This window comes from Homo sapiens, chromosome 2 (genome assembly GCF_000001405.40).
Source record: "Homo sapiens chromosome 2, GRCh38.p14 Primary Assembly".
NCBI classification, from domain to species: Eukaryota; Metazoa; Chordata; class Mammalia; order Primates; family Hominidae; genus Homo; species Homo sapiens.
Window position 1 is genome coordinate 83,518,667 of NC_000002.12, and position 24,956 is coordinate 83,543,622.

The 24,956-nt window shown below is 36.0% G+C and overlaps 2 long non-coding RNA genes across 2 annotated transcripts; both read left to right on the top strand.

Moving 5' to 3' along the window:
* Positions 1 to 23,238, top strand: LOC105374834 (uncharacterized). Its single transcript, XR_940307.2, has 5 exons — positions 1 to 206; positions 15,478 to 15,665; positions 17,179 to 17,327; positions 22,010 to 22,123; positions 22,785 to 23,238. It is a non-coding gene; the product is annotated as an uncharacterized LOC105374834 (long non-coding RNA).
* Positions 4,148 to 4,816, top strand: LINC01809 (long intergenic non-protein coding RNA 1809). Its single transcript, NR_146482.1, has 2 exons — positions 4,148 to 4,205; positions 4,592 to 4,816. It is a non-coding gene; the product is annotated as a long intergenic non-protein coding RNA 1809 (long non-coding RNA).
* Positions 23,239 to 24,956: the final 1,718 nt, after the last annotated feature.

Consider the following 24,956-nt stretch of genomic DNA (forward strand, 5'->3'; position numbering starts at 1 on the left):
CCTCGGCCTCCCAAAGTGCTGGGATTACAAGCGTGAGCCACCGCGCCCGGCCCGCATCTCTTGTTTGGCTCCCATGAACAACATCTTCCCTTTCCTGGCCTGCTGTTGCTCTGGCATGTGACCAATTTTTGTGAACATGTATGTGATCCAAATATTGACAGTTCACCATGCCACACCTTACCCCAGCCTCATCATAGCATACTCTAGTAAGTGGTCAATGTAAAGAAAAATTTTACCATGTTGCTTAAATGTGCTATTTTCAGAGAGATTGCATAACCACTAATAGTTAACTTGCTCTCATGTTTTTGGACATAAAACATTAGAATGGTGGTCAATATGTGGCCCACATGGGTCAATTAGAATCTGTAGAGACTTTGTTCATATTTTCTTATTCTTTTTTCTGTGTCTTTGTTGAATTGGGTTAATAGATTTCCAGTTGTCATTCAGAGACTCTAATTCAGGAACCAGACAAATAACTTACTTTTATGGAAAGGAAAGAGGTAACAACGGGAGATAGTGGCATATTAGAAAGTGTACCTCTACTTTCTAATTTGTGCCTGTTACTCAGCTTCTAAGGATGGTTGATCTCTGGAAACCATGTCAAGTATTTCTACATTTTCTAATCTAATTATTAAAAAAAAACTAGACATCATATTTCTCTAGAATTATCCTAGCGACTTGGGAGGCTGATATGGGAGAATTTCTTGAGGCCACGAGTTCAAGACCAGAGTGAGTAACATAGTAAGACTTTGGCTCTAAAAGATAGAAATAAATTTAAAAAATTAGCTGGGTGTCGTGGCACTCACCTATAGTATCAGCTGCTCAGGAGGTTTAGGTAGGAGTATCACTTGAACCCAGAAGTTGGAGGCTTTAGTGAGCCATGATCACACACCACTGCACTCTGAAAACAAACAAAGAAACAAACAAAAACAAAAAGAATTATCCTAATTTTGAGTTGTTGGCAAATTTTAACTTAGTTTAATTTAAATTTAATTGTTGGCAAATTTCGTGTTTTTGCCCCTGGACACTAGTTTCTAGTTTGCAACTTTTATTTCTATTTGGCTTATATTACCTTTTTTTTTCTTTTTTTTTTTTTTACCATGCGTGATATTTTTACAGCATATTTTTGCAAATTTTACCATAAACTATGCATAATCAATGTGCGTTGCTAGATCAAAAGTCCTAATCTTTGATCTACTGAAATAGCCATTGAGTTATCACTTATGAACACTAAAATTATATTTTGAATTAAAAGTTTTGATACCTTAGCCCAACAGAATAAATGATGTGGAATTACAAATGCTACAAGAGAATAGTAGGTAGAGATTTCTTACAGTGTGGGACATGAAACTTTTAAGCTTCCCTAAAAAAAACTAAGATTTGAATAATAATTTATAGTTAGTATTCTATGTCATAACACTAATGAATTTGTTACACAGAATAATCCACGTAAGGAGCTACTATTATCTATTTGATGAAGTAGAAAGTAAACTCGAAGACTTGGTCAATCTTACACAGATTTAAGTAAAAGCTGTAGAACCAAATATTAATGATCTAACTTTCAGCTTCAGATTTCGCCCATGATACAAGGCCAGTTGTATTTAAAACATATCCATTTTCATAAACCTGCCTAAGGGAAGTGGCAAAACAGCTAATTGACACAATGATTTTGAAACATGTTACCTGATTTTAGTTCCTCTGAAATATCACTTACAGATGAAGAAATGTTCAGTATTACCATCGTCTAACACTTCGACACTGAGGGAAATTGTAAGAAGGAGGGCCACAACGTGGCCTGACAATTGCCCCTGGCTTTTAATTTAATATTGTTTTTAACAGTATTAAATTTTTAATAAAATACATGCTGTGCTGGCAACTTACAACTATGAGCTATCCTGAGATTCAAATATAATGATGACCAACGGCAATTTCTTTCTTTATTGTGTGACATATGTGGGTAATTATATAACTTCCTCAAGGCAAAATGCTGTTTGAAAGGCTTACCTAAAGAAAACAAAACTATTTTTGTTCCTGAGTTGATTATAATTTGATTTTCGTTCAACCTATTCTCCTAATTAATGGTCTGAAAGAGATATTTGACTTTCCAAATTCGCCTAGTCCTTGTTCATGGATTTCACGTTGTGTAGACAATTGGAGAATTTTTTAATGCAGTTGGTGGAAACTGATTTCTGTTGGCCTTTAGGGAAAGCATAAACTTTTGCTTTTTGTTTTTTTCTCTTTCCAACCCTTGCAGGAAGAGATTCTAACATTATACTCCTGGTGAAGGTCTGTCCTTTACAAAGAGGCAAAAGTTGTTTCAGTCCCTTGGTACATTGACATGTACCTGTGAGATTCTCCAACATTGAAGGTTTATTTTCTCCCGTGGTTGGTGGTTAAAGACCTGCCTGGGGCCTCCTTCTTTCTGGGGTGGGCCTGAAACCTCAGAGCTAGGCAGAAATGTAGGTAGGTCCCAGAAAAAGTATCTACAGGATGAATGGCTTATCTTCTACTTTATATGATGAGAATAAAATATCATTTCTTATCTCCGCTCTTCCTTAGCGTCATCTTTCTTTGTCACTTTACATTAGGATAGTAGCAAATTCTTAGAGGCCATGTAAACAAAGTGTGGGCCTAAGGGATAACTAATAAGATAAGACTCAGTATTTATTCAAAAGGGGTCCTTACAGGTTTGGATATCTCACAGGATTGTGATGTGCAAATAGAGTTTGGGACTTTAAAATGTATGCATATATAGTAATACACAGAGCAAATTTACCTGGACTTTTTCTTTGGCCATATACCTACACATTTTTAGTATTCTAGAATTATATCTGCCATATTCTTTTTTCTATATTAAGCATAAGAAATGTGTGGATTAGTAAACTAGGGGCAGACATGCACAAAGTCCTGGGCTTTGTAAAGGAGTCTTACTCCTCAAGCAGTTTTCAGAGTTGCGTTTAACTATGGGCAAAATCCCATGCAAAATTTTTGTTCAATAGGACATTCTGGAAACCACTTAATTTTAAAAGAATATGTGTCTAGTTTTAGAGTTAAATTAGGCTTTCGTGGAAGCTCAAATTGCAATGACAACCACTATTCTCATGTGCAAATGTATGCATTTAGAAAGGATATTGAATTTTGTATCTAAGGTAATTAGTTTTTGGTAGGAATGGGATTCTTTACTGGAGATGCATTTACTGTGCTGATAGGTTGCATTATATATGGAGCATGGCACTATATCAATATATTTATAGCTATTTCAATTTTCATATTTACTGCTAGGATTGGAGAGGAGGTGACTTGCTTTTGACAATGTAGGTGTTTAAGGCTGATATTCATATTGAGACAAACATTATTCACTATCATATTGAGGCAAGCATTATTGATTCTCTGGAGGTTAGAAATAGAAGTATTTCCAGTTCAAAGTATTTATCCTCTCTCATCTATTCCAAGGATTCTAAAAAGTTTATCTGTTGTAAAAACATTCTCCAAAATAATTAGAATAATTATTCTATTAGATTTTTCTATTAGGACAATATAGCATGATCTTTCCTAAAATGTGTTTTCTTTGTTTCTGCCTTGAATCTGATTCAGCCTTTGAAATCAGGTCAAGAATTCCGATGTTCAAGATCTGGTCATTTATTTTGTTTTCAAACTCGAATATATGCAAAACCCTACCCATAACACTGAAGGGCTATTACCAATTCCCCTAACCACCAAATAGTCTTAATCCTCCATTTTGAGGAAGCATCAGTTCTATCCCAGCTCTGCTGCCCATAAAAAGATAGCAGCGCGAATCAGATTCTCTCTTCCCCACAGAACCAGGTTTCTTTTTTTTTTTTTTTTTTTTTTTTTTTTGAGACGGAGTCTCACTCTGTCGCCCAGGCTGGAGTGCAGTGGCGCGACTTCGGCTCACCGCAAGCTCCGCCTCCCGGGTTCACGCCATTCTCCAGCCTCAGCCTCCAGAGTAGCTCGGACTACAGGCGCCCGCTGCCACACCCGGCCAATTTTTTGTATTTTTAGTAGAGACGGGGTTTCACCTTGTTAGCCAGGATGGTCTCGATCTCCTGACCTCGTGATCCGCCCGCCTCAGCCCCCCAAAGTGCTGGGATTACAGTCGTGAGCCACCGCGCCCGGCCCAGAACCAGATTTCTGAGACAGAATGATCAGGGTCAGAGATGACATTTAGGATGACAAGTTTAAGGGTAAGAATGTTGCCTATCCTGGGTTGAAACTGTTTCATACAAAGTCAAAGCAAAAACTTCAAGCGAAGTCAGAGAGAAAACTATTGCAAAGAGTTATACAGAAAGAGATGAGTTTTTTTAAACAAGCAAACTGAACAAAGGTACGTAATGGGGCAGAGTTTGTGTTCCTTGGTTGACATCCCATGGGTATTAACCAATATCATGTTAGTTCTTTGGTCCATTCACCTTTGGCTATAATGCAAGATTAAGATGATAGTTTCAACTTGGGAAACTTTGGAGTTTGCGAGTAGAGTTATTTGTATGCATCTATGTGCCCTTTGGAAGAATTTGTAAATGATTTGCTTAATAACTTCTAAAATCTGGCTTTGTTCTGACATTGCTCTTAGGTAATTGGTTGTTACAAGAGACAAGAAAGAGCAATAGTGAAAATAAACACAGGCACAAAGCAGAAGCATTTTCTTCCACTTCAACAGAGCTCCTATGCCTAAACAGGGCAGGGGAATTGTGGATGTCACAGTGCCGGTAACAGTAAAGCCAAGTGACATGAGTCTGTCTATGTAACAAACCTGCACATGTACTCCTGAATCTAAAATAAAAATTTAAAAAATAAATAAATGTTAAATTAAAAAAAGAGTACTCTCACGTAATCAGCAAGGTCATGATGCTATTGCCAATTGATTTTTCTTTTTGTCATATAATGACATTTGATTGAGACCATGATTTCATTCTATTACCATATAATTAATTTATAATTAATAGCTGCAATTTTGTCGATTATCAAACATTGAAAGCTGGGCATTATTAGTTTTATTGATGTTGAAACCTTTACTGCGAAACCTATAGAAACTTCCCCAGAGTGAGGTGGCTTTGATCCTAAAGTCCATGTTCTTTCCCTCAGACCACACATGCGCTCTTCAAGCCCATTCCACCAGCAGAGTTCCTTTCACTTATGGCAATTACTTTATCAGTTTAAATAGTTTGGCCATTTCTTTTGGAGAATGACAGAACATTCAGTGGCCTTTTAGTAGCTTTCTAGGCCAAAATCCCATCCATTGAAAGAATAACATCTTCGTATTATCTGAAGAATGGTCTTTCATCCTTGATCTGAACATGTCACATAATAAGGAAGTACAGTATTTCAAAAGGATGCTATTGTATTAAGCAGAAATCACATCATTTGAGTAACTATTTCCCTCTTTTCCTCATCCTGTTTTTTTGGTGCTATTTAAGAAAAAAATCAAGTCTTTCTTATACAAAACCTGTAAAATAATAAGCAATAGCTAAATCATTTCTTCTCTGAGCCAAACCTCTTTAATATCTTAAGCTACTCCTATGCCAGGAAACCCCTAGGAAATCTTCTATTCAAATCACAGGCATCTCAGTCACTTGCCAAGTAACATCCTTTCCTTCATCTAGAAAATAAAGGTTTCATAAAATGTCACTGAAGTAATTTATCTAAATTAAAACTAATAGAGGAAGTAGAAGCATGTAACGTTCTGCCAAGCTCTAACATCTTGATTTCTGTCTAGATAAATTACAAACATTCTCTATTTTAAAATTAATTTTAGTCTTCAATAGAGGCCACTTTTCTCAGGGTCTCAAATTAGGAAAGATATAACTGGATATCACTCCTATTTATCAGAATATAAAAGAAGGGCCAAGAAACCTCAGTCCTGAGAAAACAGAGAAAGGCCACATCCACAGATTGTGGTTCTAGATGATTCAGTCTAAGTTGAGATGCAGGAAGAAGGCTTCACTTCCTAAACATCGGCAACAAAGAAAGTTGCCATGCAAACATAAATCACAAAATCTTCTGTAGTAACATCTAATTATTATCTCATATTCATTCGTAGAAAATAAAAATGACATTTAAGAATAATTTTGATTTATGAACTTAATATCCTGAATGTTCTCATTGGTATATAAAAAGGACCAATTAATTAGGGCTTGGTCTTGTGTCAAAATACTGTAAAATAGTAACTATAATATATAATATATAACTCTTTGTTACATGATCACAGATATCTGAACATTATCTTGTTTGTTACTATTTCTTGTTATGCTTTTGCTGACAGAAAATCCAACTAGTTATAAACTATTAATAAGTCCTTCTTTTAAGGTGTAGCTCTAAGAATTAGAAACAAAAATAAACTTTTTTCCCCCATGCAAAAAGAATGAAATTATGTCCTATGGAGCAACGTGGATGAAAATGGAAGTCATTATTCTAAATGAACTAACTCAGAAACAGAAAACCAAATATCACATGTTCTCACTTATAAGGGCGGAGTTAAACAATAGGTATATACAGACATAAAGATGGAAATAATAGACACTGGGGACTACATAAGTGGGGAGGGTGGGAATAGGGTGAGGAAGAATTTTCTTTTGGGTGCAATGTTTAATATTTGGGTGAGCCGGGTGCAGTGGCTAACACCTGTAATTCAGACACTTTGGTAGGCAAAGGTGGGAGGATTTCTTGAGCTCAGAAGTTTGAGACCAACCCAGGCAACATAATGGGACCCTGTCTCTATAAAAAAATACAAAAATTAGCTGGGCATGGTGGCAGGCACCTGTAGTCCCAGCTACTCAGGAGGCTAAGGTGGGAGGATCCTTGAGCCCAGGAGGTCAAGGCTGCAGTAAGCCATGATCATGCCCCTGCCCACCAGCCTGGGTGACAGAGCTAGACCATCTCAAAAGAAAAAACAATTGGGGTGATGGGTACACTAGTTCAATCTCCACCATTGTCAATATATACCCATGTAACAGACGTGCACATATACCCCCGGATCTAAAATTAAAAAAAAAAATTAAAAACAAATACATTGTTTTCTTGATTCTAGAATTCTCCTTCCCTGGTGGAAAGACTGAGGGATATGTCATGATTTTCAGAGAAGTACAAGGTAATGGCAAAATGCACGAGTTACTTTTACTCTCAGATAGATCCAAGAAAAGGGGAGCAATCAGAAGTAAGCATGAACCAGAGAATTAAGGGAGGTCCTCAGAGAAGAGTGTGATTAGGTCAGCATAAACCAGGATGAGGTCCAGAAGGTATTGAATATCAGAGATAAATTCAGTGCCTATAGAGACAAGAGTATAGGGTGTTAATAACAGTAGTTCAAAGAGGCAAGAAATCTGTCCTAGGAAAAACACCGCCTAAGATGGAGCTGCCAATGGTTAGGGATGTGTTGCTGAGGAAACCTGGACTCTTTTCTTCTGGGAAGCCCAGGCTGAGAGATTTCTAACCTGAACTACTTTGACCACTTGTTTACATGAATGACTCAAAAAATGGCTACTTAACTATATATGTATATGTAGTTTTATGTAACTATATGTGTATAGACATACATATACGTTCATACATATACATATACACAGAGTAGATAGATAGATATCACTTTGGTCACCCATGTCACATAAAACTATTATGTGAACCCCTAATCAGTCACTACTCTGTAAAAATCGGCTTTCTTTAAAGATTCTCTATGTGAGTACATTTCCTAAGTCCTATTGAAAGAATTACTATGTGGGAATGGGCGTGACCATTATGCCTTTTCTACAGGACATTAATGTCATGATTACAAAGAGTGAAAACAAAATAACACAATAACTACAACAATGAAAACAGCACGGCTTTATCTGATTGTATTACCCTAAGGCTGGCATAACAACATACTGGACGCCAGGTTACTTAAAACAACAGAAAATTATTGCCTTACATTTCTGAAGATAGAAGTCCCAAATTAAGTATCAACAGGGTCATGCTCTCTCTGAAACCAGTCAGGAAGAATCCTTCCTTGCCTCCTGTTAGCTTTTGTAGGGTTTTTGTTTCTTTTTTAGCCATCCTTGGTGTTTTTTGGCTTGCATTTGCAACAGTTCAACATACCTGTCATCACATGGCATTCTCCTTGTGTGTCTGTCTCCAAATTTTCCTTTTCTTATAAGAACACCAATTGTAAGGTGTTAGGGAACCATTCTACTCCAATGTGACTTCATCTTCTTGAATTATGACTGATTAAACTTCGGTAACCCTACTTCCAAATAAGGTCACATTCTGAGGGACAAGGGGCAAAATTTCAACATATTTGTGGGAGGGTCTCATATCAATCAAGTCAAGGTAGATTATACTGCAGTAACAAAGTCCAAAATATATGTGGCTTGCAGTAACAAAGACTTACATTCAATTCATGCTAGATGATATTGTTCTGCTTATCAGAGTCACTCAAGGATCCAGATTATCAGGGAAGTAATAATTTCAAAAGTTTTCAGTCACTGTGCCAGAGAGAAAAGAGCACACTACCAGGTCTCATAGGTAACCATTGAGTGTTTATGGGCCTAAGGGAGCCAGAAACTGTAGGATCAGAACACCAGTGATTTCAGATGCCTTCAGCCATAAGAAACACAAAATCCAGCTAACATTGACCTAAACTTTAAGGTCTTTTTTTGTAACTTAGCAAGCTATTGAGTGATTAGAAGTCAAAGAGTTGATTTGTTGACTTATTGATGCCACCAAGAACCCAGGACAGGAGGATTGCTTGGGTTGCAGTGAGCTATGATTGTGTCAGTGCTCTCCAGCCTGGGTGATGGAGCAAGACCCCATTTCTGCTAAATTAAACATTAAATAAATACAAAGAGCCCAGGAGTCAACCTCTCTCTCTCTTCTCCCCTTCCCGGAGCTATGTCATATGTCTAGTCCTTAACCATATCACCAACACAGGTGAAACTAGATAACCATAATTAGCATGGACCCATTCTATCTCTTGAGGCCAAGACCTGGCCACCTAAACAAAATTGGATTTTGTTTGCAAGGACAGGGAGAGTTAATTGGTGAATTACTGTAGAGTAGGACTAAAAGTATGCCACAAAAAAAGATGATTTTCAGATTTAGCATTATTTTACATCTCATTCAATGTATGGATATGTGGATAAATAATAATTTTTCTCAACTTAAATGTTTTTGGTGTATTAAAAATAAGTAAAATTTAAACGCTGTCCCTAGTTGGATTATTTGCTTAAGTGTGTTTAACAATTTTTGAGCAAATAACAATAATAATAATTTCTTCCATGTGCATAATATTTTATTATGTATATTCTCACATGCATGTTTTGTTGTCATTTCTCAGAAAAATTATCATAATGAAGGCAGGGAGCAGGAATTATCCTTTGTCTTTATTAAAAATAATAATGAATTATATATATACATATGTGTGTGTGTGTGAATATATATGTATGTATAGGCACTAAGTATAGGACTGAGAACTGAACTTTCTTACTCTCACCAGTGCATTTTCGGCTATCCCCTGGTGCCTCCTGCTCTTCTTGTGCTTTGCCTGTTTTTACATTAATGCACATTCTGAAGAATAAAACCCGCGGGACCAATTAAATAGACCATATGGTTAATCTTTGGATTTCCCTTAGGCCAAACACAACTACAATTACAAAATACTATTTTGGAAATTACTAAAATTTCAAATATGTATTGTGTTTCAAATATATGGGTAAGATTAGATATCAAAGAGTAATAAATAGAGATTTTAAAAATGTCTGATTTTATAAGATTTCATTTTAAAAAGTATGCTATTTAAATATATATTTATATAAAAATGAAATCTTATATTTATATCAAATGCAATCTTATAAAATCAGACATTTTTTAAATCTCTGTTTATAACTGTTTGGTATCTAATCTTACCTATACATTTACATATATATACCTACATATATGTGTGGAATTTGTGATCTGAATAGCCCCTAAGCCAGCATTATAAAAAGCTTCTGCATTTCCTTTAGAAATGCCATGGTTATCACAGTCACTCAAGGGTGTCTCAACGCATTTCATTGCTCAGAATTGCAACAAAAGCAACTCTAACTCCGATAGGATTTTATCATGCTGAAGGATCTCAAGGCATTTTGAAAACATATTAAAAATAAGATGTGAGTCCAACTTGAAATGTTTGTAATTCATGAAAGGTTGATGAGCAGGTCTCAGCACCCACTCATGATCAGTGTTAAGTGCTTGCCTGTGGGGATTGTGGTATCGCCCTTAGATACCCAGGACAATCATGTCATACAAAACAGAGATGGCATGTGTCCTTGCCTGACAGATGCTGATAAAGTGGTGACAAGAATAACAAGTAACTAAAGAGATCATTATGCCAAAATCCTCTGTCTGAGACTACACAGAATGGCATAAATATCAGCTGTAGTGTTATACAATGTCTTCCCAAACCAGTAGAAACTGTCATGGCCTGCAGACAGAGATACAGCAGAATTAAAAGGCAGGATATCAGACCATACCAAAAGAGAAGATGTGTAACTTGTAGAGGTGTTATGGGCTAATATATAGAAGCAAGATCAAAAGGACTAAGTATTAAATGCTAAAGAAGCTGCTAAAAGTAAGGAATAGAGATGCTGGCAGTTTTCAGCAGAGTTGACAGGAAATAAGATACAAGTGAAGAAATTTAATGATATGCCACAAATCCTACACAACTGCTCGAGATGTGTCTTCCTGGATGGCTGGCTCAGGGCCTAATTCATAACAAACACTAAATAATCATGTACTGAATGAATAAAAGTAGGCTTTAAAGAGAGTATGTTGCAGTCATAGAATTTATAATTTCTATTCTTTCTTTATTTTTTTCCATTGGCTTATGGTTCTTCTCTCTCACTGGACCATGAAGAAGAAAAGAGATTATGTTGTAGTGGCTGTGTCTCAGTACAAAGACCAGTACCTTTTAGGCAGAGCAAAGCCAGAGGGTGTAGACGTCCATTGCTCCTTGGTAATCAATGAGCGACATTTACTAAAGAGAAGTGAAGAGCTGTTGGATGACAAGGATAAGGATGGTGAGCATAGGCCCTGCCAGATGCTCAGATGGAGCTTGGGCAGACTACAAGTGCTGATTTACTTCTTCCATAGCTCTATGTATGGGTCACAGTGTTCACTTCATGGCCAACTAGGGGCCATGAGTGTCCTCTGCTGCCAACACCAGATGTTACTCTCCATGAGATCTCTATGTGTATGACTATGCCATCCTGAGCTCTACTGATCTCTCTCCTTCTTTCTCATTTTGGTTTTCTCTTCCTCTCAATATTGGGAAAACCTTTTCTACTTTATAGTGCTAAGATGTTAATTTTTATCTCTGCAGATTTCCTAAGTCCACAGGCATCTTAGGGCCTTTTTATGAAACTAAAGCATATACTCTGTATTTCTGCATTACCATTTTTTTCCTCCATGCTATTGGATATTTCAGAATTTAGGTATTTTAAAGAGGATAGGAGAATCAGGGTAAACAGAAACTGGAACTTTTGGCTTCCTTTCTCTCACAGCTTTTCTCTCTCATGTGTCATCTTCTAGCCACACTCTCCTATGCTCATTTTCTGAAATATATCTGTCCCCTTAGAGCTCAGTGCCTTCACACATTCTGTTCCCACCTCCTGTGCCTGTCTTCCTTCCTTCCACAAAGCTGACACTTCTCCTCAAGTCTCAGATGCAATGTCATTGTTTTAAAAACTCTTTCCTGATTACACAATTAAAAGTTGGTCACATCTTCCGTAACATTCTGATATGGTTTGGCTCTGAGTCCCCATCCAAATCTCAACTTGAATTGTAATCCCCATAATCCCCACATGTCAAGGTTGGAACCAGTTGGAGGTAACTAAATCATGGGGGTGGTTTCCCCCATGCTGTTCTCATGATAATGAGTGACTCTCATGAGATCTGATGGTTTTATAAGAGGTTTGGCATTTCCCCTGCTTGCACTCATTCTCTCTCCTGACACCCTGTGAAGAGGTGCCTTCTGCCATGATTGTAAGTTTCCTGAGGCCTCCCCAACCATGTAGAATTGTGAGTCAATTAAACCTCTTTTCTTTATAAATTACCCAGTCTCATGTATTTCTTCATGGCAGCATGAGAGCAGACTAATACACACTCACATATTCTGTACAGTACAATTTGTTTTTCTTCTTATATAACAATTTATCAAAATTTGCAATTGTATGAGTATGTTACTTACTAGCTTACCATACATTTTTTTCATTACCATAAATTTTGTAAGGGTGGGAATTAGGAGTTATTGAGGCAGGAAATTTAAAAAAAATAAAGTTTAAAAGAAAGAGAAGTAAGTTTTCCTGTATTAGGCTGACTTGTCCTAGAGGCAGCAACAGGCACAGCCTAGACCCAGGAAAAGTCTTGATAATATTATCTAATGTACCCTGGAGACTCTCCCAGCACTCCCTCTACAGAGGGAGAAGAAAAACAAATTTTCCTTTGTTTTATGGAATAAGTTTATAGATTCCTGTTCTCTATAACTAGTGACTTCAAGTATTCTGTTTTATCTACAAAGTGCAATTAAGGTCATAAGAAGCCTGAGTAGGCCTGAACTACAGCTTCCTGGGCACCATAGTGAAAGTTATAGGATAAGCCCATGCCCAGGCAAACCTAGATAATGAACATCTGGGTTGCTTGGCAACAGTCACGTGCAATCCTGTCTTTGTCCTGCCTCTATATCCCTGCTTTCACGCCACTGTAAGCTTGCTTCAAACTAGCCCACCCCCTTTTGTGAAGTGTGTATAAAAGTCAAGTACTGTCTTTGTTCTGGGCCTAGTGTTTTGGATGTGAGTCAGCTGGGCCTGAGTGCACTCAATAAAGATTCTCCTGTTTCAACCCGAGATCTCTCTCATCCTTCTAAATCCCACAACACTATGTTGTTTTATTTCAACACCTTATAATCTGAGCCTAGGACAAAGGGATGCTTAATAATTATTCGTCAAAGAAACGTGACAAACATTAAGATATGCAATATCCACTCTCTCCTTTCTGTAACTAGCAGAACCCTAGCTTTTGGAGATTCTACTATTTTTTTTATGTGCCCAGTTACAATACTTCCTTCTCCCTTGTCTGAGGATAAGAGCACACAGTTTTGTGCAACTCAATTTAAGTCAAATTATACTGGGAAGGGTCAGACTCAGTCTTTCGTTTTTTGTGTTTTCTTTTATTTATTTATTTTTGCCTACTCTGTGTTGGCTGGAATTTGAGTATGATGTATCTAAGAGAAGAAGCCATCACAAAAGCATTGGTGAAAAAGCCACATGCTAAGGATAATGTAACAGAAAGGTAGAAGGGCTGAGTCCTTACTGGCTTCTTTAAACCCTCACCCAAAGCATGGGCTCTACCACTGGAGTTCTTCACCTGTGAGGAAAATCAGTCTTATTTTGGTTAAGCTAGTAGAGTCAGGCTTCTATTAAGTGCAATCCCAATTCAAAATGTGATTTTAGGTAAGTCATTTCATATGCTAACTTATCCAGATTCTAATTTAATCACTTTGCCATTGCATAAGATAATTTCTAAGATCACTAGTTCTATCACAGGTTTTCCTTTAAAATAAAAACACTATTATCTAAACTAAATTTTAATTATTCCTCTCATTTTGAAAACCAATGAGCTATATGAATTTTTAAATAACTACTATGTATAAGACAATATAGCAGATGGCTTGATTAATGATATTTCCTTTTTAAATGTACATGTTGTACATTTTCTCTATTTTCTACTTTTTCTCTGATTTTTTTTTAAAGTTTCAACACATCATTAATTTAAATGTTTGTAATTAAGAATTCATGAGAAGACTGAAAGGGTCAGTTTTCAGATTTAATTGTATGGAATCAAATATTATTTTCTTCAGCAAATTATACTGAAGACTAGCTTGTGGTAGGGCAGAGATGTGTAATTTAAAGCAGTGATTTCAAAATCTTGCTTTATAAACCAGTGTTACACAAGCTACATGAAATCACTTGGGAGTGTTTACAATCCAATATCAAACTCCTATGTGTAGTAAAGAATTTAACTTTGCCCAAAAAGAGGTCTGGCCTTTGCCCTTGACTTCTTGGAGGTAACATCTAAGTCCTTGGAATGTCATACATGATAAGATCCTTTCTTTGTCTGTGAGCCTAATAATGTGATTTAGGATGGGACTAAAAACCATACCATGAATGTGGTTTGAGTTACAAGGTGTTAGCTTGATCTCCTGAGAGGCTGGAAAAAGAGATCAGCTGATGGACAATCAACCATGCCTAAATGATGGAGCACCAATAAAGATGCCTGCCACCAAGGTTCAGCTGAACTTCCCTGATTGACAATATCCTATGTATGTTCTCACACATTATTGTTGGCAATAATTAATGCTGTCTATAATTCCATGGGGAGAGAACATCTGAATGCTCCATGTTGCATCACTTCTGGGCTGTACCCATGTGTCTCTTCCCTTGGCTGATTTTAATCTGTATCCTTTCTCTGTGATAAACCATAGCTGTGAATAAAACAAATTTCATTGAGTTCTGTGAGTTCTGCTAGTGAATTATCAAAACCAAGGGTCATTTGGGTAATTTCCTGAACTTGTAGTTGGTGTTATAAGGGAAGGTACATTATGTGGGCCCTGTTCCTAACTTTGTGGTTGCCCAACTATTGCAGCCCAGATACCCGAATTCTGTAGCTATGGGATGTTTATAGATACCTTGATTTGGAAACTGTATTAAGAAATCAGTTGTGTTTAGCAATTGGGAAAGAACCATTTCTATATTAATAATTTGCACCATACGTATTAACAATAAGCATTTATTTAATTTATATGTGTACTGTGCCTGTGTGTTTGTGCATGTATAAGTAGTTTTGTGGGTAATCACAATTAATTCTGTAATTAAGCCAGGTCAATTGCATTCTTCTTAGAAAAGTATTTCTTTTGATTAAATAAAGTTATTGTAAGTACTTGACTACATAAAACATAATTTTCCTTGGAAAATTATACATAGAAAAGATAAATTTAGTTAATGGATCTGAATTAAAATTATATGATTTAACAGCTGCATATCTTAGTAAAATAGTGTTTTAGACAGGCAAAGTGTTAAATTTAAATCACATGCAAATGCTTTTTAAGATATTTAAAAATCTTTGTTTCTTCTCTAAAAATTCTTTTACATTTCTCAAAGACTGGCTACATTATCAAAGTGCTCTGGGGACACATACTTTGCCATTTTTGTTTTATTTCTGCAGTGAATTAAAACACAGCCTGTACAATCAAACTCATGGCCCAGTCTTGTCATCCAAGCTTATTGTCTAATTCCTTCAGTAGGAAAGTAAAACAGCTAGGGACCATGGCTTCAAAGATTTTTGTTACGTCAACAGTGTAAATTAAATGAAATAATTTCCTTGCCTAAGAAGGGGAAAATTATTCAAACTACATTTCATGTTTGCCTATTTTCTTCCTGTTGCTTATGCCAATAGGGGACACAAGAGGCGATTTCAAGAAACACTAATAGGATTGTGAGAAAGTTGGCCAAGGAAGAGGAACAGCCAATAAACGGTGACTTGTCAAGACAGTTAGGACCCTGGGAGCTAAATCTGCCTGGAGAACTCTGGAAATCAGTGTGGAACACATACTTCAGCATCATCTCAGCTAATGGACAAGTAAGGTGAGATATTTATACCCTAATTCTTATCAGTCATCAGTTGGTGGATATTGCAAAGGAGCATTAATTTTGCAACCTTTCTGGCCAGCTGTGCTGGTAGGCAGAAAGATTTCTAGCCTCCAGAGAAATCCCTCAAACAAATGGCAGCTGAACTCACCATATACTACGATAGTAGGATGTGAAGGTACAGGAATTTGCAAAAACAGTGTTTACTATATGAGTTGATACAAACTTGGCACCAGAAATGGTTGTAAGAAGCAGTCGCAAAAAGATGCAGGCCAAATCTAAATGAGAATCATGCCTAAAGATAATTTTGCTGGTTGTAGAATTGCAATGGAAGTTGAATTCACTACTTTGCCATGCTTCTTATGTAAAAATAAGGGCATATTTTAGCAAAGAGTGAGATTCAAAAACACTTAGAATAGAGACATCTGTGTGTATTCAAAGTTGGGAATCTTGAATCCATAACTCTCTCTGAGATATCATTCCCAGCATAGCAGCTTGTACCCTCAAATCTGAGGACATCCTAATTTAATGACCATGTAATAACATCATTAAAGTAAGCTGGATTACAAAGGGATTTCTATCTTCTCAGGACCCACTCCAACCACTTTTTAGTCCTTCTATTAATGAGATGCTAGAGTAACAGGGGCTAATTGCCAGCACTGAAGGTCCAGATCAGGTGGGTTTGATTACTTTAATAGGCTGCAAGAGTGAGGATATTTTGACCTACATAGTTCTTTGCAATGCTTAATTGATCATGGTGTTCCTAAAACTAAAACACATGAACTATCTACTGGGCAAAAAAGGTTAACTCAGCAGACCTCAGTTGCTCAAACACTGCACATTCCAAACAAGGCCTATTTTAGGATTGGTCCTTGACTGGTTCCTGGGAGATAATCTCTGAGCCCTTGGAATATTCTGCCTGACAAGAGTGTTTTTGTATGCCTGAAGCCTTGGGTCTTGTTGTACGGATTGGAACAAATGAGTTTATTCTAACAATATGATTTATGGCAAATGCCTATGTTTGCTCTGAGGGTAAGGGTGAAGTTTGAGCAGCTGAGGTCAGTTATGTGGGAGCTGTATATCCATGTGACTTGCCCCAGTAAAACCCCAGAACACTAAGGATCCGGTGAGGTCCCCTGGTTGGCAACACTTTACACATGCTGTCACACATTATTGCTGGGAAAACTAAGCACCCCCTTTGAGACTCCACTGAGAAGGAAACACCTGGAACTTGCTCTTGGTTTCTCCTAGACTTCACCCTCTCCATGGCTTCAGATTGCTCTTTTTGATCTTTGTCTTTTCTCTGTAACAAACCATAACCATGAATATAACAGCTTTTGGGAGTCCTGTGCATCCTTTCAGTGAATCATTGAGCCTGAGGGAGGTCTTGAGAACCTCTGACACACCCGCTAAAATATCACTTCATCTACATAAAAGAGAAAACTCTAGGTCCATTCTCTAGAAACCTGACCCGAATCAACATAAAGGGCAGCTATGGCTTCTCCCCCAGCTTTCTGACTGAAGCCCATGTTTTGACTGGAGCACCTTGATTAAACAGAAGACCCTCTGAGGAAACACCACAGACAAAAGTGTACATGGTAAATATTCCTCCAAGATTTCCCAAAGGATCATATGGCTGTTTTCCATCATGATAGAAAGGTAAATATGCAGACTGTTTATGGCTTACTAGACCGTGGCTTTGAAATGATGCTAATTTTTAGGAAACTAAAATGTAATTGTGATCCACCAGTCAAAGTAGGAGCTTAAAGTTGCAGGGGAGAAAGCGAAATAAAGCAAATGTCCCCACACATGTAAAAAAAGATTATTTTGTAGTTGAGGCATACATACACAAGTCTCTATTTTTGATTCATCATTATTTATTCTATTTGAAATAAAATCTTTATTAATTTTAGTGAGGAAAAAATAGTATGTTGAATATCACAAGAGAGTTTGTTTATCAGAATCTCCTCCTATACAATGGTTATAAGTTGTAGCTATAAATCACTAAGACCATATTGGTTTAACATACATACCATAACTTTTAATAAATTTAAATCCCTTACATCCTCAGGTGCTCATCTTAAAAGGCAATACGTTAATTCAAGCAAATCACTTCCCTCATTCAATTTGTGGATAATCTATGGGATTGTTTTAGCTTATTTTCTTAGGAGGGACTGCATTATGTTCACTTATGTTACTGTTATCATTTGAAAGTTGATCTTATTTTCTAGAAAGGACAAACAAGCATTTATAGGCAAATATAGCCAATAAGCAGCTATTAACTGGGAACAGCAGTTTGGTTAACAAAAGGAAAGGTCTATTAGGAGTCAAAAGTGCATGAGAGTGTTTGCATGTAAAAGAAGTCAATCAACCAGTCGTAAATATTGTCTTCAAAACGTCTGCATTAAGTTATTTTTTTCTGACCAACCTTGTGGGCTGGGATTCCACAGTAAGGTCAGGAATGTCAGAGAGAAAAATCATTACTATCTTCACATGTTCTGACATGTAGATATTCTCAGGCCTCCCAGGGCCTGTGTGGTTTTCACCAGCAAGCTGTGATGTTTTCTCTCTAGGTCATTCTAGAAGCACCATATTTTATGACTGGTTGCTACCTTTTCATAAATACTGTTTTTTTTTCAAATCCTGTGGAAAAATCAGAATAAATGTCAAACTTGCTGTGTGTCTTTGTCATTCAAAATAAATAGCATGATATGGTTTTTCACATCAAAGTTATTTTTTTCAAAAATATTGCTTTATCTGATTTTTTTATCTTTGAATATCATACACATGGTAAATTGTCTACTGAATGAACTAAATCTCTGAAATTTTTATTTTATCACATATTGGGAAGTTGTCTACCTATGCCATGTACCATAATTGATATCTTTCCTCTCTTTTTACGTGTTTGGAGCCAATTCAGATACATAGTCTCTTGACATAATTCTCATTGCTAAATCTATGGACAGATTTGCTTAACTTCACATAAAAAATTATATTCAGATTTTGCTCTTTGTAATTGTTGTTCATTTTTATACGAACACTGAACACTACCCACATATAGTCCCACATCTGTTCAGAACAGAAAAAAAAGACCAAACACCTATCAAAGGCTCTGCTTTTGCTCTTTGAATCCCATTGTAAAAACTCTTGTTCAAAATACCTTTATTCTACTTTTTAAGATCCAAAACCCCAAACAGAAAACCTTTCCTTATCCTATAGTTAACTGTCTTTACTTAATATATAAAATTAAAGAACCTCCATTTGTGATAAAGGAAGGCCTCACTTCAAATAATCCAACCTTCTGAGGTATCAGGTGTAAACAGCGAAGTGTCATTCTTTATGAGTCAGAGAGACTGTAATCTCTGTTTTAAGAAAATTTAATGTGTTATCTACCTAAGAATTAATCTAGGCCAGGCACGCCTACAGGCTCACGCCTGTAATCCCGGCACTTTGGGAGGCCGAGGTGAGTGGATCACAAGGTCAAGAGATCGAGACCAGCCTGGCCAACATGGAGAAACCCCGTGTCTACTAAAAATACAAAAATTAGCTGGGTGTGGTGGCACGCGTCTGTAATCCCAGCTACTTGGGAGGCTGAGACAGGAGAATCGCTTGAACCCGGGAGGCAGAGGTTGCAGTGAGCCGAGATTGCGCCACTGCACTCCAGCCTAGCTACAGAGAGAGACTCCATCTCAAAAAAAAAAAAAAAAAAAAAAAAAAAAAAAAAAAAAAAAGAATCTTATGCTATATACCATCTTTATTCACCACATCTTTAATTTTCATCCTGTATAATTTTCTCTTTATTCTGTACATTTTTTACTCTAAATTCCATAGAGCATGCACTCATTTTATTTCCTGAGATATCTTCTGAATGTCATTTTTCAGCAAACAAGAAAATAATTAAAAAGTAAACAAATAACAATACAAACTCGTGACAGACCTGCTGGCATTGATACTCCAAGTTTCCCTGGGTCTGTTACTCATCCCTACAGACCCAGGAGAAAATAAACTCCTGTTTCACCGGCCCTTCAAGTCAACTTGCCGAACCCCATTCCAAGCTACAGTTAGAACAACAGCCTTCAGTAAGCAATCACCTCTAAAGTCAGCATGACTTTCAGATTCCTTCTCCTTCCTTGCTCATCTCTACAGTTTCTCTGCTCATTCATCAGTTATAACCATTAACTTTACTTCATGCTTAACAGGGTAAACAAATAATCAGATTGAAATTATCATCAATTTCAACTTCCAGATGCATAAAACTATCAGATTCTAAGCCCCTCAGTTCCTCTTTCTGTCATTGCAATAAATGAACATCCTTTGTCTTATGTAAGCTCTCCATCTGTGCTCTAGACTGAGAGATCTAGACACCCCCACAAAACTTCTCAAGGATTAGACCATCTCTCTCCTCCAGCATCATCCTATCTCCTCCACTAGTGTTTCGTATCCTCTATTACTACTTCAGCATGTGGCACCATTGTCTCTTTTTATCTCTTTTCTCTTATTATCTCTTTTACTTGCCTCCATTCTTTTCTCTCTAGGGAAAAAAGAAGGAAGGGGCAGAGGGAGGAAAAAAAGAAGGAAAGAAGAAGTAGGAGGGACTAGAAAAGAAGGGAGAAAAGAGAAGAAAAGAAAAAGAAAAAGTCTCAAGTTTACTTATCCGTGGTCTCATCTTGGTTCTCTCAATTCCTTCACCTAGACAAAAACAAACTTCTTGGCAGAATCCCTGTCTTTATTTTCCAGTCTTCTGTGTCATGTAGGATGTTTTTCATTGCACATCACGGAATACCCAGTATAGATGATTGGGTTAAAAATAGCCCTTATGGGCTAAAGCCATAAAGGTCTTACATCTCATGTAATATATAAGACATGCAAAGACAGGGCTATGTTGATGGGTTAATTCAACTACTTGGCAGTTTGATTAAGGGCTCAGGCCATTCCATCTTGACATTTTACATATATATATATGTAAAATATATATACATATATATGTAAATATATTTTATATATATGTATATACATATACATATATATTTTACATATATACATATACATATATATTTTACATATATATACATATACATATATATTTTACATATATATATACATATACATATATATTTTACATATATATATGTAAAATGTCAAGATGGAATTGCCTGAGCCCTTAATCAAACTGCCAAGTAGTTGAATATATACATATATATGTAATATATATATATGTGTCTGTATATATATATATATTCTTATATATATCATGTTATGTGGACATCACCCCGTAACTGATGTCCTTGTAAGAAACCCACCAGGACTGGATACACAGTGGGGCAACCACATGGAAAGGCAGTGAAAGGATGCCATCTGCAATCCAAGGAAATAGGACTCAGAAGAAAAGAGTCCTTCTGGCACTTAGATCTTGGACTTCCTGTCTCTAGAACTATGAGAAAATTAATTGCTCTTGTTTAAGCCACCAAGTCTGTGGTAGCCTTAGCAAACTGATACATCCAAGTTGTGTTTTTAAGGAATGAGGGCACTTTTGAGAACACAGTACAAGTTTTGTAACAGGGTTCTTCTTAGAGAAGAGTGTACTGGGCCTCCCATTTTTTTGCATCTGGCTGCACTGTTTACTTATTGTCTTCAGGGAAAATTTCTAAACCCCCTTGTTGAGAGTAGTCATCTACATGGAGATAATAATAGCATCCCTACTGGATTGGTGAAATGATGATAAAATGAAACAAGGTTTATACATTTCTTAACACAGTGTCTGCTTATACTAAGTTCTGCATAAAAGTTATATACTTAATTTGCAATAACTTTCAACATAATAGAATTGATTCTCTCAGAAGTTTTTCTTTCCTTGAACAGTGATCAAGCTTTGTGAAATTTCATGCAAAAATACACAGATACCGTAGTTCTGTTTTAGAATTCTTTAATGTCAATCCTTTTTTTTTTTTTTTTTTGCAGAAAACATTTGTTAGGGGTTGCATGATATAAAGGTAGTTAATACCACTGAATTGTACACTCATAAATGGTTAAAATGGTTAAAATGGCAATTTGGTTTTATATATGCGTATATATTTATACAGCTTTTTGTTTTATATAAGTATATATAAAACAGAATACATATGCACATATGTGGTATATACACACACATGTATAAACACAAGATAAAAAATAATAATGCAACATACCAAAAATCATTGAATATTATATTTTAAAACGATGAATTGTACAGTATATCAGGAGTGATATTTATTTGATTAAGGATATTTTATAGATATTCTCAATAAGATAAATGCCATTTAGGTTAGCTTCAATTAATTTGTTTATAAACTATTTTTTTACAGCAAGAAGAAAATATAAAATAAGCTTTCAGCAATTTAAAATGCAGCAGAAGGAGTTACATGCCATTTTCCAGAAAAAAATATCAACCTGTAGCAGATTTGCAATCTGAACCTGAGGTTAGTGCTTAACAGTGGTTGTTGGAATTGGAAATACCACCTGCTTCCATTTCTGCAGTCACTTGAGAGAAAGCAAATACAAAGCATGGTACCAAATAGAGTTGAGGGCATTGAAGTGGCAATCAAACACACTGCAGAAACAAATGGAAGAGAGTGATACCACAGACTCAGGGAGGATGCAGTTCATCCATCACATAACCAGCCAAAATTGCTATTTGTTCTTTTCCAACTTGTGAAAAGATGAGACTCACTTCTCTGTCTTCACATGGAGAAGCAACTCAGGTCATTTAAAACCCCCAAATACACCACATGTTTCAATATAACCTTACATCAAACATTTAAAAAAAATGAAGAAAGTAATTGGAACTAAAACACTAATTAAAATAACTTACTGGATCAATACAAATATTTGAGGTTTCTCAATCATTTTTTGCATATTAAGTACTTACTAATTTTATATTCTGTTTAATTTTATATCCTAGTTTAGATATCCTAGGATTTACTTATTATTATTCTGAAAGTATGGGAGAATTTGAAAAGAATTTTAATTATTCAAATACTTATTTTTGTAATTTATTGTATCAGTCACTTCTTACATGTTGGTTTGAATCCTCTCATCAATACCTGTCTCATTTTCATCTGTGGCTGCTGTGATTACCAGCTCTGCATGGACATTGCCAAACTTCAAGCCAGCAAATCAAGCTGAGAGAACATCTCCTGAGGTCCCTGCCTCCTGCCTCACATCTCGTACATCTTGATTACCTTGCTGAGGCTGCTCTATTGACCTTAAGCCAGCCTCACAGCAGAGAAAAGATTTCCAGAAAGACTTTTATTTATCATTCTGTGGAAGGAAACTTTGGCTATAGTTGATGAGAATTAATTTGTCTCCCTTGTCACCTCCATGCAAAATGCAATTCTGAATAGTTTCTTAGTAGATGGTCCAGAGACTTCAAGAGATCTAGCAATTAGCTCTTAGCAAGTGGATGCTTTAGTAAGTGGCTTTGACATAGCCTCAAATGTTTCTATGTCCTTTCATAACTTAATCCTAGCCTTGTCTTGCTCTCCTGTTATTTAGAATTGCATGCAAACCTAGTATCAGGCTCTGCTTTCAGGTGAAGCTGGGCTATATATATATATATATATATATATATATATAATTTTTTTTTGCATATTGACACTCTAAAAGTGTTACAGCAGCATACCCCTTCCCTGTGTTCAAGGCAATTTGATAACTTATTTCCATGCCGAGCTCATTGAGAGCTCATTATGAACATATTCTGAAGAGAGAGGGTCCCATCTGAAGTGTCATGAAGATGCCATCCTGTTCCTAAAGACATTCATTCATTGGTATGCATCTGAAATTAGAATTATGATGAAAATAAAAATAATACTGTGTGAATTTCTATGCCAAGATGTTATATATTTTGCTAAATTTATTCCTCATATTCAATGTGTATAATGCTATGTGATTGGTAGCATAAAATAGCTTTGTTATTATTGCTTTCAAGGATTATTTTCTTTTCTGATTTTCTCTTTTAAAATGCAGCTAGTCTCTGAACCAGGGGATGACAAATCCTCCCTGAAAGAACAAGTAATAAATATTTTAGGGTTTGTGGACCAAGAGGTAAAATCAAGGATATTACGTAGATATTTACATAACTATTTAACATGTAATCATGTAAAAATAGAAAACATGGTTTTATTTGTGGGCCATATAAATTTGTAGATTGGCCAGATTTAGTCTTATAGCTTGAGAATCTCTAAACCTAGAAAATATAAATTATTTTATATGTGTGTTATAGTTAAATAAAAAGTTCTTAAAACTCAGTCACTTAGAATAAGTAAGACTGACTTAAACTACTTCCGATTATTTTCCTGGAGGAACCCGAAGCAAAAGATCAAGGCTGATCCTGAACTGCTGCACTAGCACAGCGAGGGGGCCAGCATCCCTTCTGACTCGCTGGTCTTTCAGGATTACCACTGTTACATATTTTAAATATCACTCCTGATACAACATACTGTACAATTCACCTTTTAAAATGTATTATTCAATAATTTTCAGTACGTTTCATTATTATTTTTAACTTGTGTTTATATATGTGTGTGTATGTGTATATACGTATGTATTTTGTTTTATATATACATATATAAAACAAAAACTGTATATCTATATACATGCACATATATACATATATATAACAAAATTGCCATTTTAACATTTATAAGGGTACAATTCAGTGGCATTAACTACCTTATGTTATGCAACCATCACCTCTATTTCCAAAATGTTTCATGTACTCTAACAGAAACTCTGTAACCATCAAGCAATAAACTCTCAGCCCTTAGTAACTTCTAATGTACTTTCTGTCTCTTTGGATTTGCCTATTCTAGATAAATTACAAAAGTGATATCATACAATATTCATCCTTTACTATCTTACTTATTTTACTTAACATAATGTTTTAAAATATCATCCTTGTGTTAGGATATCATTTCTTTTTATGGCTGAATAATATTCTATTATACATATATACTACATTTTGTTTATTCAATCATCCGTTGATGAACACTTAGGATGTTTTCACCTTTTGCCTACTGTGAATAATGTTGAGATAAACATTGGCCTGCAAGTATTTGTTCAAATCTCCATTTTCTTGTGTGATTTTTTAAAAAATTAGAATAAATTTAATTGTCGTGATATCTTATCATACCTTTTGATCATCATAACAACCTAAACATACTTGTTGAGTGCTTACTATTTGCCCAGCATTGTGCTACACCTTTCATCTCTTTTATCTCATTTAATGCTGGTAGTTGCTCAATAAGGTCAGTG